Consider the following 16,353-nt stretch of genomic DNA (forward strand, 5'->3'; position numbering starts at 1 on the left):
CAGCTCACTGCAACCTCCGCCTTCCGGGTTCATGCCATTCTCCTGCCTCAGCCTCCCGAATAGCTGGGACTACAGGTGCCCGCCACCACGCCCAGCTAATTTTTTGTATTTTTAGTAGAGACGGGATTTCACCGTGTTAGCCAGGATGATCTCGATCTCCTGACCTCGTGATCCGCCCGCCTCGGCCTCCCAAAGTGCTGGGGTTACAGGCTTGAGCCACCGCTCCCGGCCTGTTGTTAGTTTTTATTTCATGAATCTGTTCTATAGCTAGCCAGCTCCTTGGAAGGTGGGTCCACATCTTACATGCTTGAGTCCAGGAGTTCGAGGCCAGCCAGGGCAACATAGTGAGATACCATCTCAATAATTTTTTAAAAGGTGGGGGAGATTTGATAATTATTCTGCCTGATTTAGGATGGTTTCATGTAAAGTGTGTTCCACTGTCTAATCTCTTGGCATTACTTCTTGGGTTAAGATTGGGGAAGTGCCAGGTTGCCTCAAGATAAGGTATTAGTTTGTGCTTAGCTATGTAATAACAATACATATAGAGATGGAAGGACTGCTATACTACCACCTTTATCCCCCTCTTTTTATTTTATTCTGGGTCATATGGAGGGGGCAGTTCTTTCCGCTCTCATCGGATGTTGGATGAGAGGAACAAGTGTCCAGCCTTGTTCCTTTTCTCCATCTACAAGCTTTCCCTAGACAGTGGTTTCAGCTGCTCACTATAGTCTGATAATTCTCACCTGTGACACCAGCTTTCTCTCGAACTATAAATCCACAGTTCTAGTTGTCTTCTGCTGTATCTGAGATATTATGCAAACACTTGGCAAAGATTCCAAAACTGCATTGACTCTGGAGGTGATCTGAACTCACTCCTGTGGCTTTAGGCACATCTGTTTGCTGACAGTGTCTACATGTTAGCCTCCAGCTTGGACTTCTTCTTGAGGTTCAGACTCTTAATACTCAGTTTCCATTTGACAGTACTCAGTTTTCACTTGAATGGCCACAAACGAACTCTTTAGGTCTCCTCCAAAACCTGCTCCTCCCACAGTCTTGCCCATTTCAGTGGGTGACACCTACCTTCTACCAGTTGCTCAGGCCAAAAGCCTTGATTCATCCTTGACTCCTATCTGTCTTCATGCCCCATAGCCAATTCAAAGTCAAGTCCTGTTAGCGCTGTCTTTGGAATGGATCTAGAATCAGACCGTATCTCACCTCACTGCTCCCACCCTGGTCTGAGCCGCACTGTCCCATGTTTGCACTTCACAGTAGCCTGCTGGCTGGTCTTCCTGTTTCGGCCCTTACCCCACTGCAATCTGCTCTCCTTTTAAAACCTAAGTCATTCAGCTGCTCAGAGCCCTCCAGCAGCTTCCCTTCACGCCTAGTAAACCTCACAGCCCTCGGAGGTGCCCACAAGGCTCTGCATCATTTCCCCACCTCGTCCTTGACCGCACCTCCTCTGTCCCCCTGTGCCTGGGCTTCAGTCACCCTTCCTCCAAATACACCACCTGCTGTACACCTCTCCAGGCTCTGCTGCTGCTGCTCCTTCTGCCCAGAGGGCCCTTCCCTCAAGGGTCCACATGGCTTATTCCTCACTTCCTTACAGTCTCTAGTCATGTGTCACGTAGGAGAAACCCTCCTCAATTACGTTAAAATAGGACCCCCTCCCTCTGTTCCCCTTCTTGTGCTTGAGTTTTCTGCAAGCACATGTGACTGCTGACCTCACACGTGCTCTCAGTTGACTGTCAGCTGTGTGGAAGCAGAGCCCTGCACTCACTGCTGCGTCATCGGCACTCAGGTCCTTGCTGAGCCAGTGGGCCCTGTTGGTGCCTGTTACTGGGACTTCATTCAGGAACTTTCCACCCTTTATTCCTGATGTGCCTGATGGTCACAGTTGCTTTGCTTTTTTCCATGTGTTTCATGTCTCCTCCTTTCCACTCATAGTGCCTGTAACCGCAGCTGCTGGAGACACCCGAATGGTTTATTGGCTTTGTGAACATGTTTCTGGAGTTATGGTTTCATTGCCTAATTGGAAAGGTTTGGAGTCTCATTTTTCCCCCTCCGTTTTTTGCACATTCTCTTCATCTGCCTGGTTTGCCAATTTAGTCCCGGACATGATGGCACATGGAATGACAATCAGCTACAAGAAATGGCCCAACTGAGGATTAAGCACCAAGAGGAACTGACTGAATTACACAAGAAACGTGGGGAGGTAAAGCTAGCCCTTTTCCTCATCTGTCTTCTGCCCTCTATGAGAGTCCTGTGGGGAGCGGGGGAGCTCAGTCACTTCTCACCAGAATTGGCAGCAGCCTTAGCCATATGTGGCATCAAAAGTCCCCTCCATAGGAATAAAAGGGTGAGGAAAACAGAATGAAAAGACCAGGCAGATTGAGGCCCATCACCAGAAGGGCAATCCTGTGAGAGCGCTGCCAGTTACCATGCTCCAAAATCAGCATGAGAGGCAAGAGTGGAGAGGCTTTAAAGAACAAAAAAGCCTGCTACCTGGTGCGCTGAAGGCCTCACTGATGGTTTCATAAAGCTTTTCAGTACAAACCCTGAAATTTCAGAGACATTCGTGAGAAAGAATCAAGTCCTAGGCTGTGTTCGCCTGGATGGTGGTCTTACGGCAAAGCTCCAGTTGGGAAAATACAGTTCACCATCAGTACAGCTGAATTGATTATCTTTTCAGCAGAAATGAGTCTCCAAAAAGGTAGCTGAAGTTGAGGAGTAGACAGCTGTCCTCAGCAAGCCCCTGGCAGTCACCTGGAACACTTCTCATTCCAGCCAAGCTGTCCTTCAACAGGGAGTGGCAGGGATAGTTCCCCTTTGTGTCCCCATAGGCGCCTCGGCTCCTTGCTGTCACCCAGCTCATTTATTCTTTCTTAAAAATAAATCGCCACCCACTGTGTAGTTTCCAAATGAGGTCCTAAAATTTTTATTTATGAAAGTATTCTTCTTTATCTCCCAGTTAGCTCAACTGGTGATTGACCTGAATAACCAAATGCAGCGGAAGGACAGGGAGATGCAGATGAATGAAGCAAAGTGAGTAGAGACCCCGCCTCCTTGGAGCCTGGTCATTGGGTCCCATGTCCTTTGTTCTGCTGACCTCTTGTGAGCAGGGCCAGTGGCAGTGAGTGGCCACAGTGCACTTAGCGAGAGTTTGATTTTCAGTGCATACACACTCTGGGATCCTTTTCTACCAGCTCTGAGAAGGAAAAAGCAAGGACAGTGCCCACAGGCTTCTAGCATCCTCCTAGGGATGTCACCTTGGCTCTTGCAAGTGGCCCAGAGACACTAGCAGCTCTCCTGTGGCCGCTGTGTGTGGGAGCTGGTATGTTCCTGTGGTGGAGGTGGTAGGGCCAGGATAGCTGAGCGCATGGCCCTTGGGAAAAGGGAAATGAGTTTGTGAGCAAAACTGTTGCTGACCAGGGAGAAGCCTGGCAGACAAGATAAATGGGGACTCTGAATCCTGAGACCTTGGAGCTGGGGTAGCGTGTGCTTGGGTTTCCTTAATATGTGGAAAGGGGTCTAGAGGCTTGGAAAGGCAGGGCGCTTGCTCAGGCTTTTGCTCAGGAAATGTCAGAGCTGGTGAAATATATACGGTTTCCAGCCTCCTTTTAAATCCCCTTTACCAATCTAAGCATCGAAAGTTTCTCTTCCTTCACATCGTGTTTTTCCTAGTCATTAATAGGATGAATTTCACCTTAGGTGTTTCCTCTCCTAATGGATTATCCTGTAAACCATGGGGATGGGCCTGGCTAAAAGATGTTGTAACAGACACAAAGTGTTAAGCACTCAGCCAGGTCCGTCTGGCTCTGGCACAGGGCTCTGGCGAGGTACTATTCGTCCTCTGATGTCATGCTTCCAGAATTGCAGAATGTTTGCAGACTATCTCTGACCTGGAGACGGAGTGCCTAGACCTGCGCACTAAGCTTTGTGACCTTGAAAGAGCCAACCAGACCCTGAAGGATGAATATGATGCCCTGCAGATCACTTTTACTGCCTTGGAGGGAAAACTGAGGAAAACTACGGAAGAGAACCAGGAGCTGGTCACCAGATGGATGGCTGAGAAAGCCCAGGAAGCCAATCGGCTTAATGCAGAGAATGAAAAAGACTCCAGGTGGGCTATCAATCCACAGTTAGTGGTTTCCATCCTTAGTAGAGTAGAACCTAGGTCTTTGAAAAGAAAGAGATAAACCTGGCAGTTACTACAGGAGGTTTACCAGGGAATTCTTTCAGTGTTTCAAGGAGAAAAGCTAATTCTGAACAATATAAATTAAACCAGAGTTAGAAAAAGGAAATACACCACAATTAGAATTCTTCCCCATAATTTTGTGAAGCTTTTTGTATCCATATAAAAATTCTGATCTTGCTAATGCACAAGAAGACTATAATCCAACCTTATATGAATATAGATGTGAAATTCCTAAATCAGACTCATTGATAGATTTTTATTTATTTTTTGAGACAGAGTCTCGCTCTGTTGCCCAGGCTGGAGTGCAGTGGCATGATGTTGGCTCACTGCAACCTCCACCTCCCGGGGTCAAGTGATTCTCCTGCCTCAGCCTCCTAAGTAGCTGGGATTACAGGCATACACCACCACGCCTGGCTAATTTTTGTATTTTTAGTAGAGGTGGAGTTTCACCATGTTGGCCAGGCTGATCTCAAACTCCTGACCTCAGGATCCACCCGCCTCGGCCTCCCAAAGTGCTGGGATTAGAGGTGTGAGCCCCACCGCCTGGCCATTGATAGATTTTTTAAGAATTCCCTGCAATCCTGCTAAGTCTATTTATTTAAGATAAATCTGAAACCTACTGAGACATGGGAATTAAAAGATGGATTATCAAGAAATCAATTACGTTAGGAATTTGAATCTCTGTTGTGGAAAATGTGCGTGTTTAAAAGCTGCCCCAGAGAGCCCAGTCATCCCCTGGTCAAGGTCCACTGATCAACCGTCTATATACACTCTTACTAAAACCTGCAAGAGAACAAGGAGAGGTTCACTCTCACAACTCACAGAGAACACCGATCTGGATGTTCTGGCCAACCAACCATTGAAAAGAAGGAGTGATCACCCACCTAGAAACCTAAGAAAATGAGCTGAAAAGCTGTTAACACAAGTTCAGCAGATGCCAGGTGCAGTAAGTAGCTCATGCCTGTAATCCCAGCACTTTGGGAGGCGGAGGCGGAGGCGGAGGCGGAGGCGGGAGGATCGCTTGAAACCAGGAGTTTCAAGAGCAGCCTGAGCAACATAGTGAGACTCCATCTGTACAAAAAACAAAAACAAAAGCTGAGCATGGTGGTATGTGCTTGTGGCCTCAGCTACTCAGGAGGCTGCTGCGGGAGAGTTGCTTGAGCCCAGTAGGTTAAAGCAACAGTGAGCCAAAGTTGTGCCACTGCATTCCAGCCTGAGTGACAGAGCGAGACCCCATCCAGAAACAAACAAAAAAGCTCTACAGATTAGAACATACATATTTTTAAATCCCCATATCAGTAGTTTCGAGTTTGAAGAGATTATTCCAGTTAATTTAAAAGTGAATAAATGACAATAGGAAAGAGTCTTTTAAAGGGAATAAATGACGATAGGAAAGAGTCTTTTAAAGGGTGATGATGGAAAAACAAGTTAGCATATCAAAGAGATAATCTGCACTACCATCATGTTTGTGGCAGCACCATTCACAATAGCCAAGATACGGATCAATCTACATATTCATCATTGGCTTAATGGATAAAGAAAATGTGCTGTACACACACACAATGGAATATTATTCGCTATAAAAATGAATTAAATCATGTTATTTACAACCACTTGGATGGAACTGGAGGACAGTATATTAAGTGAAATAAGCCAGGCACAGGAAGGCAGATACTGCGTGCTTCTACATGTGGGGCTAAAAGAAAAATGTTCTCCTAGAGATACAGAGTATAACTGTGGTTACTAGAGCATGGGAAGAGTAGTGGGGAAGGAGGTTAAAGAGAGATTACTTAATGGATACAAAAATACTGTAAATGGATATAAAAATACTGTTAGAAGGTGTAAGATTGGCCTGGTGTGGTGGCGCACACTGTAATCCTAGCACTTTGGGAGGCCAAGGAAGGTGAATCACTTGAGGTTAGGAATTCGAGACCAGCCTGGCCAACATGGTGAAACCCCGTCTCTAATAAAAATACGAAAATTAGCCGGGTGTGGTAGCGGATGCCTGTAATCCCAGCTACTCAGGAGGCTGAGGCAGGAGAATCGCTTGAACCCGGGAGGTGGAAGTTGCAGTGAGCCAATATCATGCCACTAGGCTCTAGCCTGGGCAGCAGAGCAAGACTCTGCCTCAAAAGCAAAACGAAAAGAATACTTAGTGCTGTGGAAAATGCCTAAAATTAATATAACCGAAAATAGGACACAAAATGTTTTCATACAGATGATCCCAATTTTGTATACTTTTTTAAAAAAATGACTGGAAGGAATTATATGTACTGTTACTGGTGTTTATTTTTGGGGGTGGTGAGATTATGGTTTTTGATTTCTCATTTTATACTTACCTGTATTTTCTAATTTTCCGGTTTCTATTAAGAAAAAATAAGCTGTCCTTTTTGTATTGTTTCTGTCTCACATTTACTTTAAGCAGAATTGTTTGGCTTATGCCATGGAGCTTGACAGCAGTGTGAGGGTGTTGGGGGCCCCAGGTGAGCTGGATGCTGCTAGGTTGCATGTTCACGTCAGCTGAGAGGCTGCTGGAGGGAGAAGTTGGGGAGATGTGTGGTGATGCCAAGGAAGAGCCCCTGAGCAGTGCAGTGGACGGGGGGTAATGCACATTTCCTAGTGAAAATGCTGTCCTCATTCCCTAGCCCACCCTTTGAAGCATCTTCCTAGGGCTGTGCACTTGGAGGTATCATGTGATTGCAGATGTGGGACCTGAGGAGTCTTCATTACTTTGCTTAGGTAGCCTCTCCTCCTAGAAGCCTTCCTGCGTCATTACCCACTTCCTGCCTCCCCAGCTTAGATGTCCCTCATCTTCCTGCTTCAGGCAGCTGTGGTTTACCTGGGCCATATGTAGCACACTGTTTTGAGATAGCTCTTCACACTCTGCCTCCTTCCCTTATGCTGCCACGTGTCCCTGTGGTCAGGCACAGTGGCTGCTTCATAAGATGCACTCAGGGCTGGGCACGGTGGCTGCTGCCTGTAATCCCAGCACTTTGGGAGGCCAAGGCAGGTGGATCACCTGAGGTCAGGAGTTCAAGATCAGCCTGGCCAACATGGCAAAACCCTGTCTCTACTACTAAAAACACAAAAATTAGCTGGATGTAGTGGCAGGTGGCTGTAATCCCGGCTACTCAGGAGGCTGAGACAGGAGAATCGCTTGAACACAGGAAGCGGAGATTGCAGTGAGCCGAGATGATGTCACTGCCCTCCAGCCTGGGTGACAGAGAGAGACTCTGTTTGAGCTATTAAAGACCTTTCCTTTCAGCTATAGTGATGAATCCCTGATAACAGGTGGTGTTTTCCTCTCCCTGTGACCCTAAGTCAAGTTTTTATCTCCACCTTGCAGAACTGGGACCTGAAGTTATAGAAAGTAGATTTCAGACAGTCAACAAGTGCTTTAATCATAGAGTAGTGGTACTCACACACCTTATACCGAGATTCTGGTTTTTCCTCAAAGAGAGTTAGTTCACAGTTGTCTCTACCAGCTAAGACAATTTGGATAAATTGTATTTTTGGTAATTTGCCCTGTAAAACTTATTTTTCATCTTCCAGGTATAAAATCAAGAGTGTAATGCACTTTTTAAGCTATACCCACATCCCTTCCCAAGATTCTGCTATACTGCCTAGAGGACTTTCCTTCATTTTGAGAATTACCACCGTGGTAAAAACTTACGAGAAATTTCAGCAGAATTCTTGATTGCAGCTCAGTAGCATTGCTAGAGTTCTACATTAGGGGTCCTCCACCTAGCAGGCATAGCCATAGTTAGAAGTGAAATTTATCAAAGAAGAGAGAGTAAGGTCAGGGTTAGGAGTTAGGGAGTTTCTGAATTTAGGACTTGAATGAGAGACAAAAATGATTCTGAGAAGGGGAGTTAGTGGATGAGACTTTGACCATGTTAAAAATTTGTCACAGCCAAGACTTCTATGTCAAGCTTTAGTAAATTAAAGTTACTAATGTTATGTAAACTTTGACATTTCAAGAATCTCACTATACCTCAGTTTCCTCATTTATAAATGGCAATAATGATATTTACCTCAAAAGGTTGTTATAAGGCTTAAATGAGTTAAAGTCTGTAAAGTAATTAACAATGTCAGGTAAGGGGAAGTCCTAAGTAAATCTTCACTGTTAGTAATCAGGCTGTGGGTGTGTTAATGCAGGTTGAGCATCCCATATCCCAAACTCCACAATGCTCCAGAATCTGAAACTTCTTGAGTGCCAACATGACACTCAAAGGAAGTACTCATTGGAGCACTTCAGATTTCCGATTTACCATTAATTTCAACTGAATTTCATATTTAGACCTGGATCCTGTCCTCAAGATTTATATCATGTTTATGCAAAACTTCAAAATCTGAGAAAATTCGAAATCTGAAACACTGGTAGTCCCAAACATTTCGAGTAATGGATGCTCAACCCGTGTAAGACTATTTGCTGCAGAAAACTTAAGTCACAACCATGACTAACCCTCAGTGAGCCTGAGGCATGTGTCTATCCTAAGATACCCTTGGTCCCAGAAGGCAGGCCTCCTCCTTTGCCAGTTCACTGCTTTCTCTAATAATGTGGCCTATCTCTCTTCTAGGCTTTACTCTGAAACCCTTTAAAAGGGGAGCCTTACTGATGTTATGAGTTTGGGCTTGTGACTTTTGAGTATTTTGCTCAGGGTAGTTGTTATTTTACATGCACTGAATGTGTTATTAGAACTGGTGGCTTCTAGAGAGCCCAAACCCCGTGCTTTCTTAAGCAGACATAAATGGTGGGCTTTTTTTTTTTTTTTCCCAACAGGAGGCGGCAAGCCCGGCTGCAGAAAGAGCTTGCAGAAGCAGCAAAGGAACCTCTACCAGTCGAACAGTAAGTAAAGATAAATGAATCAAAACTGTGTTTCTGAAAATTTGGCTCTCTTAAAAGTTTTGTTTTTATTTTTTTTTTTGTTTGGTTTTTTTTGAGACAGGGTCTTGCTCTGTTGCCCAGGCTGGAGTGCAGTGGTGTGATCATAGCTTCTAATGTTTTTATTTCTGTAAAATCATCTTACAGATTTTAGAAAGAAAAATGTTAAAGGAAGAAAATGAAAACATACAGTTCTTCCACCACTCAGAACTAACATCCATATATCATTTTAATTGTATTTTGCTGGCTTCTAATTTCTCACAAATCATGTACTGATACGGCCTTTGACCCTATTTCTGATTACTTACTTGAGATAGATTATTGAAAATAAAATTTGATGGGTCAAAGCTTTTGGAACATCACCAAATAACCTTCCAAAAAGTTTGTGTTCATCAGCTGTGAATGTGAATTCTAACTTCCTGCACTCAGTACCCGTTACTGCCTCACTGTTTCCTGTTGACACTTTGAACGATCAGTTTTCTGCCTCTTAATTGTGCCTGCCATGTAATGCGGTGGGGTTTTTGTTGTTGTTGTTTTGTTTGTTTTTTCCCTCCTTGCTCCCTTTGGTTTGTAACTTAAAGTGGAAACTTAAGCGAAAACTAAGATCTCTTGGAACAAAAGGAATCAAACTAGTTCTGGAGCTTTTCCTAATCTGCCTACAAGTTAAGGTGGGGTATCTTCTCTGAGATTTGAAGCTTTCATAGTGGTAGAAAAGAGTTTCCTTCGCTCTAGGATGTTTCTTTTCTATTGAAATGTGTTTTGGAATATAGTTTTAGAGTTTTGATCCACTATTTTTTAAAATGTTGGTTGCTTCCCTGTAAGTGGAGGGGTTTAAATTCAACTAGGAGTCATTCACCAACTAACGTCTTAATTTACAAAGAAACAAAGGTTCCCATATCATGCCTTTGCTTTAGATATGTAGGGTACGTGTGTGTCTGCACTCTCAGATGTGGAAGATTAATCTCAGTTGTATTTTCCCAAGCCACAAAGTAAATAAATAGTTGACCTGGAAATGAGATTTGGTTTCTTCAGAATAACAGCTTATAAAAGTGTCATTTGCATAACCGGGTTGACTGGGATAATTTAGACAGGTTGAGCATCCTGCCCAAGATCATACAGGAAGGGGCCGAGGTAGGATGCAAACACAGGGCTGTAAAAGCCTGTTATTTTATTTTGTATTTTATTTTATTTTGAGATGGAGTTTCACTCTTGTGGCCCAGGCTGGAGTGCAATGGTGCAATCTCAGCTCACTGCAACCTCCGCCTCCCAGGTTTAAGCGACTCTCCTGCCTCAGCCTCCCAAGTAGCTGGGATTACAGGCATGCGCCACCACGCCCAGCTAATTTTGTATTTTTAGTAGAGATGGGGTTTCTCCATGTTGGTCAGGCTGGTCTCGAACTCCTGACTTCAGGTGATCTGCCCGCCTTGGCCTCCCAAAGTGCTGAAATTACAGGCATGAGCCACCGAGCCCGGCCTAAGGCCTCTCCTTAATCTCTATGCTTCCCTAAGGAGTTTCTGGGTCAGAGGACATACATCTTTGAAAGGTTTTGATAACTTAGCAAATGCTAGTGTTTTCTTGTGGTCCCGGGCCTAAGCACAGTTGCAAGTACTTAAAACCATAAAATTCTATTTTCAACAGGACATTGTCAAAGGCTCAGCTCATATTTGCAGTTCCTGTCTTTGCAGTTCTCCTCTCTTCCTTGTATGGGCACAGGTGACTCTCGCAAACCTAGATCCCTGGGAAAGCCAATCAAGAAAATAAAGCACAGCCTTGTCCTTTTTCTTTCGACCTGCCTTTTATTCCCTTCTACATCCTGGCCAAGAATGTGGTGCAATAATTACACATAGTCCTGGAATAAATAGCTAAGGAAAATAAATTTACTTTGACCAGGTTTAACTTGCTTAGTAACAGGTTCTTAAGTATATATTTACCTAATCCAGATAATTATTTATTGAAAAGGAAAAATCTTTCTGTCAAGTTCTTATGAATCCAAACAGTAGGTGATGAAATCTTGGGTTATTACATTTAATTATCTTCTCCATGAAGGTTGCATCTCAGTAGGAGGTCATTAAGACCAAAATAATTACTTGCCCTCCTCCAAGTAGGAAAGACGTGGCCCAGAAAAATGAGGAAGGGGGATTCCAGAGGTACTTTGCATCCGCTGGGATAAACAGCAACAAAGGGAGCATGTCCTATGACTTGATTATGTCATTTGAAGTGTGATGGGCTCTCCTAATGTCAGAGACACTATGTATTTAAGCATAAAATGCGCAGAGTCAAAAATGCATAGTGTTTAAATTTTGCTTTTCTATTTTTTAAAGTAATATTTGAAACTGGGTTAAGTTGGCTGTTGATTTCATGGCCCATTTAGCCATCCCTTCTTTCCCTGAATTCTCCCTACACTGTTGTTTTATATTCCATAGCTGCTGCCCCTAACTACCCTAGGTACCCCTCAGCCCTTGTGTCATGGGAACTGTGCTTGGTGAGTACTGCAGCCCTTCAACAGTGATGCTGACTGTTGATGGAATGCCCTACTTTGGCACTGGTTATGTGGTTATAGACTCAACAGATCATATTTTATTGCTTCAAGTGGGAACTGTGTTTATACCTAAAAGGATCAAAAGCTCACTTTTAAATTTATTCTCAGTTGAAATTCTGGATTTGATTTGAACAGGTTAAATGTTTATTGTAGTGTTGTTCAGAACATGGCAGCTCTTCCTTTTTCTCCAAAGAATCTTTAACGCATTGCTGTCATAGCCAAGTGGTTTAGGATCTAACTAGAAAATGACATTAGCATTTGCGGAACCGATTAATCACAGAACTGTTCAGGAGAATCAAAGAATGTCTTGCCTTTCTTTCCAGGGATGATGACATTGAGGTCATTGTGGATGAAACTTCTGATCACACAGAAGAGACCTCTCCTGTGCGAGCCATCAGCAGAGCAGCCACGTAAGTAGGCAGGTTTGGGCCAGGGAAAAGACAGCTTGAGGAGCAATATGAAGGCACATCTGTGGACATGACAAAGAATGCAGTCAGATGCACCCAACCCCTTACCCCTTTTCTGGGACACCCAGCGTCGAACACACCACAGAGGTGTCCAGTCTTTCTCAGTTCACCTCTGCTTAATGGGAGGGAAGCAGAACACGGGTGGCTTCAAATGCTTCTAAATACAAAAAAATGTAGTGGCTTACTCAAATATGGACAGTGAAACCTTATTAAGCAGAATGATTGTTTAGGTTTGATCATCCTGTTTCATTCTTACTAGGGCTTCCCCCCGCCCGCACCGCCCTTCAAGAGTGGGGATTGGTTACTAACAGTCAGAAATTGTGAAGTTAGTTAGCCAGGAATTGTGAGGTTAGTTGTCTAATGCTTTATTTCCAGGGAAATTAATTTAATACTAGGGAACCTTGTTTCTTTTGAAACTTCTAGGCTGGGTTTTCCCTTTCCCTTCCCACTGTTTTCTGGCAGTTTGGTACTGTGTTGGGTTTCTCTTGGCTGGGGTTTGGGAACTAAGTGGGAAACATATTCCCAGTTACCTGTTTTTGTGGGCTGTTTATTGATTGATTATTTGGGCAAAATGTTTCTAAGGTTTAAACCTATCCTCCCCTCCTCTTTAGTAAGCGACTCTCGCAGCCTGCTGGAGGCCTTCTGGATTCTATCACTAATATCTTTGGGTAGGTTAGAAGACCTTTCCTTTTTAAATGTGTATAAGTATACCTAAGTATATGTACATGACTTATTTTTATTCTTTAAATGTACACCAGGTGTCAGTGATGCAGAGTATACATATGCCTTAATATCAGCTTTTCATTTAGCTTCTTCCTTTTTTCCTCAACTTCCTTTCCTCTTAATCTCGCTGCGTGCTGATCTCTGGCCTTTCCCTTTAGTCTGTCCGAGTCTCCCCTTTTGGGACATCATTCTTCTTCTGATGCTGCCAGGTGAAACTATTATCCTCTCTTAGTCCAGCATGTGAGTGTGGGTCCTTAACAATTATGCCAATCACCGCTTCACTGCCCTCAGTCATCAGATGTTCACGTGCTAACGAGGATGCTTTGCATGTTCCTAGGAATGCCGGGAGCCCTCAGAGCAGGGCTGCCAGGTTGAACACTTTGTACAGTACTCATGCTCTTGTTGCTTTCTTTTGGCATGCGTTAGACTCCACATTGATCACAAGTGATGAGGTTGATTCTAACTAGGCATAGAAATAAAATAGTTTTGCAAAAAAGACCAAAGAGCTACCTCTGAGCTAGCTGTTACATTAAGTTGAGAAAGTTTCCCAGCAGCTTATTGACTGGGTAAGCAGTTGTTCAGGATTGCTTTTCATTGTTGGGTTTTGGAGTCCACAGGTTAGTGTGCAGGAGAGTAAGGCATGTGCTGGCTCTCTTTCTCATTTGAGTGAGGGTGCTTTTGATTTTTTTGTGAATTGTTCTGTAGTTTGAAGAATCTAGAAGGACAGGCTATCAACAGAGGCAGTCTGCTTAAGCAAGGTCGTCTTGGAGTCCTTTCTAACAATTTGATGAGCAGTAAACCTCTGCAATCCTGTCTAATATTTGTCTTTATGTTATTTCTTAGGAGACGCTCTGTCTCTTCCTTCCCAGTCCCCCAGGACAATGTGGATACTCATCCTGGTTCTGGTAAAGAAGTGAGGGTACCAGCTACTGCCTTGTGTGTCTTCGTAAGTATGCTTCAGCCCCGAACCCTACCACGCTTGATATGGTGACAGAGCCTGGCAATTAAAGGGTCCTTTCTAGGCCTGCAGCTAAGCATTCCATTGTTTTACTTATATCAAGCCTTTCCACCTTTTGGCTCTGTCAGCTGTGAGAAATTGATATATTTTGCTTAGTTTCAGAGGACAAAATTTGTTACAACCATCCTCTGTAATGGCAGAGCTGACTGAGAAAGGATTGCTAGCATGAGGGATGGGGCAAAGGAAAAGTAATTAGGGATTGTGAAAAATGGGAGAGGGATTTATATAATTATTGTCACCAATTGGCTCCAGTTTAGAGTGAGTTGCCAGTCAGTGGTGTATTATGGAAGTTCAGTAGGACAGCTGTTGGTTTCATGAATTATATCCCTATCTGTATGACTCCCAGCCATTAGGGGTCTATGACTGGAAGCAGTCCTGGGCAGAAGCCACGGTGATGGATACCAGGGCTGTCACCCGGAGTTCAGAGCTGGGTCCTAGTACTAGCAGGTAGTTTGCATCCCAGCTGGGGTAGTTGAGCAGAAATTGAACCAGCCTGGGGAAACATTCAGTACCTGGCTCAGAACTGTCAAAGCATGAGGAGGGTAGGAAACAGAGCACAAAGAACAGAACCTGGAGAGTTGGACTGACTCCAGTACTGGCCTAATAACTGGCAGCGGGTAAGTGAAAGGAGCCAGCTTTCAAAGCAGGGAAGATTTTGCCGTAAAAATGGGATGGAATTTATATGGTGGGAGCTTTGGGTTCCAGGTATAAGGAGGGACTTAGCTAGTTACACAGTGGACTGGCTGAGTGATGAACTGCCTTGACTGTTGTAAAGAGAGTTCCGCTTTGGAGGAGGAGTTGGGATGGGGCGCATCAACGCCCCTTCCCAGTCCCACTCCACTCCTGTGATTCCATGATGCACCGGGCACCTGCAGAGGTCGATGATGATTGGTAAAAGGTCTGATTGCACTGAATGTCACGGTCCCTTTGTTGCCCTCAACTCCCAGCAGCCCATTTTTTCCCTCCCGTCACATTTAAGTCATGTGTATGGGATCATGGAGCAGCTGATAATTTGGGATTCTGTCAGTGTGTGTTTCTGAGAGTGATCGGCTCACAGCTGACGAGTATCCAACAAAACCAGTTACACAGGAGACTGACGAGTGGCAGTCATGGGTGTGATGGTGCATGATCTCAAGTTTTCAATCTGAGACCTCCTAAGGAGAAAGAAACCATAAAAAAGAAAAGGAAATTTCATGGGGGTAAAAGGTTTGGTCACCTGTCATACTTTTCAGCAGTGGGTCACAAGAGGGAGGCAAAGTGGAAAATGAAGTTACCAAAGTGATGCCTGTTGCCCAGCCTGTTAATAGTCACTCCCTCCGTGATACTTCAAGCATTTTATTTTTTTTTAGTCCCAAGCAAATGTAAATATCACATATTCTCTTCCCCAAGTGACCTTTTAGACAAGTGATTATCTACTTAACAATCTCATATTGATAGTCTATGTTTTCTAGTCTTTCTTTTCCTTCTCTATTATAGAAATTTCCAAACATACGCAGTATCTCTTCCCCCCCACACTTATGCTGGAGCAATTTGAAGCCAATTCTAGGCATTATATTTCATCCAAAAATATTTTACTGCCCATAATCTTCTTAAGAGAGTATAGTGAATTTTTCGATTATTCCCTTTTCCCATTCTAGAATGGGATGCTGAGTCTCACTCTGTTATCCAGGCGGGAGTACAGTAGCACAATCTCAGCTCAGTGCAGTCTCAACCTTGGGCTGAAGCAATCCTCCCACCTCAGCCTCTTGAGTAGCTGGAACAATAGGTATGCGCTACCACACCTGGCTAATTTTTGTTTTTTAGTTTTTAAGAGACGAGGTTTCGCCACGTTGCCCAGGCTGGTCTTGAACTCCTGAGCTCATGCGATCTGCCCACCTCGGTCTCCCGAAGTGCTGGGATCACAGATGTGTGCCACTGCACCCAGCCAGGATGCTTTTTTACTTGGTTTTCTTTCTTATCCTGAACATAAGTACCATCTTTTGCCAGTGTTTATGCCAGTATTAGAAATTTCCCTGTGAAGAATATAAATTCTCTTAAAATAACGACTGTCATTTTTATCTAAGGCTTATGCATTAACAGGCACCATTCTGGGTTGCAAAAACCTTTCTGGAGCTGAGCAAACTGAGATTTCAGAAACTTGGCAGAGGTCACACTGCCAGTACACACTAGTCCCATAATGTTTCCAGAAAGAACTACATAGAATTCCATTATAACACAGATTGATGTTTTTGCCATCTACTTATATTAGGACTCATTGCGAAAGCTGTATTATGAGAGGCCATGTGCTATACATTATTTAAATATGTAGTATTTAATATTATTAGTAAATTAGTAATTACTAGTAGATCAATAAGTAGTATTAACTCAGTCTGGACCAAAATTAATTCTAGGTTTACTTTTAAACTATTAAGATAAATATAGGCCATTATTGTTAGAACAGATGAAATTAATGCAAGGACCAACTTTAAGCAGTCTACACAGATTTTGAGTACTTTTTGAGAAGGTTGCACTGCACTCTAATGCAAC

General features: G+C 43.8%; 1 protein-coding gene and 1 non-coding gene across 13 annotated transcripts in view, besides 3 other annotated features; both read left to right on the plus strand.

The window, feature by feature from the left end:
* The window catches only part of ATG16L1 (autophagy related 16 like 1), a 43,997-nt gene that overhangs the window by 9,351 nt on the left and 18,293 nt on the right, over positions 1 to 16,353 (plus strand). For 2 of the 12 annotated variants that reach the window (NM_001363742.2, XM_047444850.1), the window contains exons 3-10: positions 2,107 to 2,212; positions 2,969 to 3,042; positions 3,869 to 4,120; positions 8,979 to 9,044; positions 11,943 to 12,029; positions 12,698 to 12,754; positions 12,968 to 13,018; positions 13,653 to 13,755. In NM_001363742.2, the coding sequence (NP_001350671.1) occupies positions 2,107 to 2,212; positions 2,969 to 3,042; positions 3,869 to 4,120; positions 8,979 to 9,044; positions 11,943 to 12,029; positions 12,698 to 12,754; positions 12,968 to 13,018; positions 13,653 to 13,755 (796 nt within the window). The remainder of the gene's footprint in view (positions 1 to 2,106; positions 2,213 to 2,968; positions 3,043 to 3,868; positions 4,121 to 8,978; positions 9,045 to 11,942; positions 12,030 to 12,697; positions 12,755 to 12,967; positions 13,019 to 13,652; positions 13,756 to 16,353) is intronic. The other 10 variants (NM_030803.7, NM_001190266.2, XM_006712608.4 and 7 more) reach the window with 9 other exon arrangements.
* Positions 702 to 791: an enhancer, noted in NCBI's record as "active region_17336". NCBI's record gives its function as "activates an Ori minimal core promoter by ATAC-STARR-seq in GM12878 lymphoblastoid cells {active_cell/tissue: GM12878}" and the evidence as "EXISTENCE:reporter gene assay evidence [ECO:0000049][PMID:35858748]".
* Positions 1,092 to 1,161: an enhancer, noted in NCBI's record as "active region_17337". NCBI's record gives its function as "activates an Ori minimal core promoter by ATAC-STARR-seq in GM12878 lymphoblastoid cells {active_cell/tissue: GM12878}" and the evidence as "EXISTENCE:reporter gene assay evidence [ECO:0000049][PMID:35858748]".
* Positions 4,957 to 5,026: a silencer, noted in NCBI's record as "silent region_12469". NCBI's record gives its function as "represses an Ori minimal core promoter by ATAC-STARR-seq in GM12878 lymphoblastoid cells {active_cell/tissue: GM12878}" and the evidence as "EXISTENCE:reporter gene assay evidence [ECO:0000049][PMID:35858748]".
* On the plus strand, positions 14,703 to 14,980 carry SCARNA5 (small Cajal body-specific RNA 5). The gene has a single exon (NR_003008.2).

Source organism: Homo sapiens, chromosome 2, assembly GCF_000001405.40.
Source record: "Homo sapiens chromosome 2, GRCh38.p14 Primary Assembly".
Classification (NCBI taxonomy): Eukaryota; Metazoa; Chordata; class Mammalia; order Primates; family Hominidae; genus Homo; species Homo sapiens.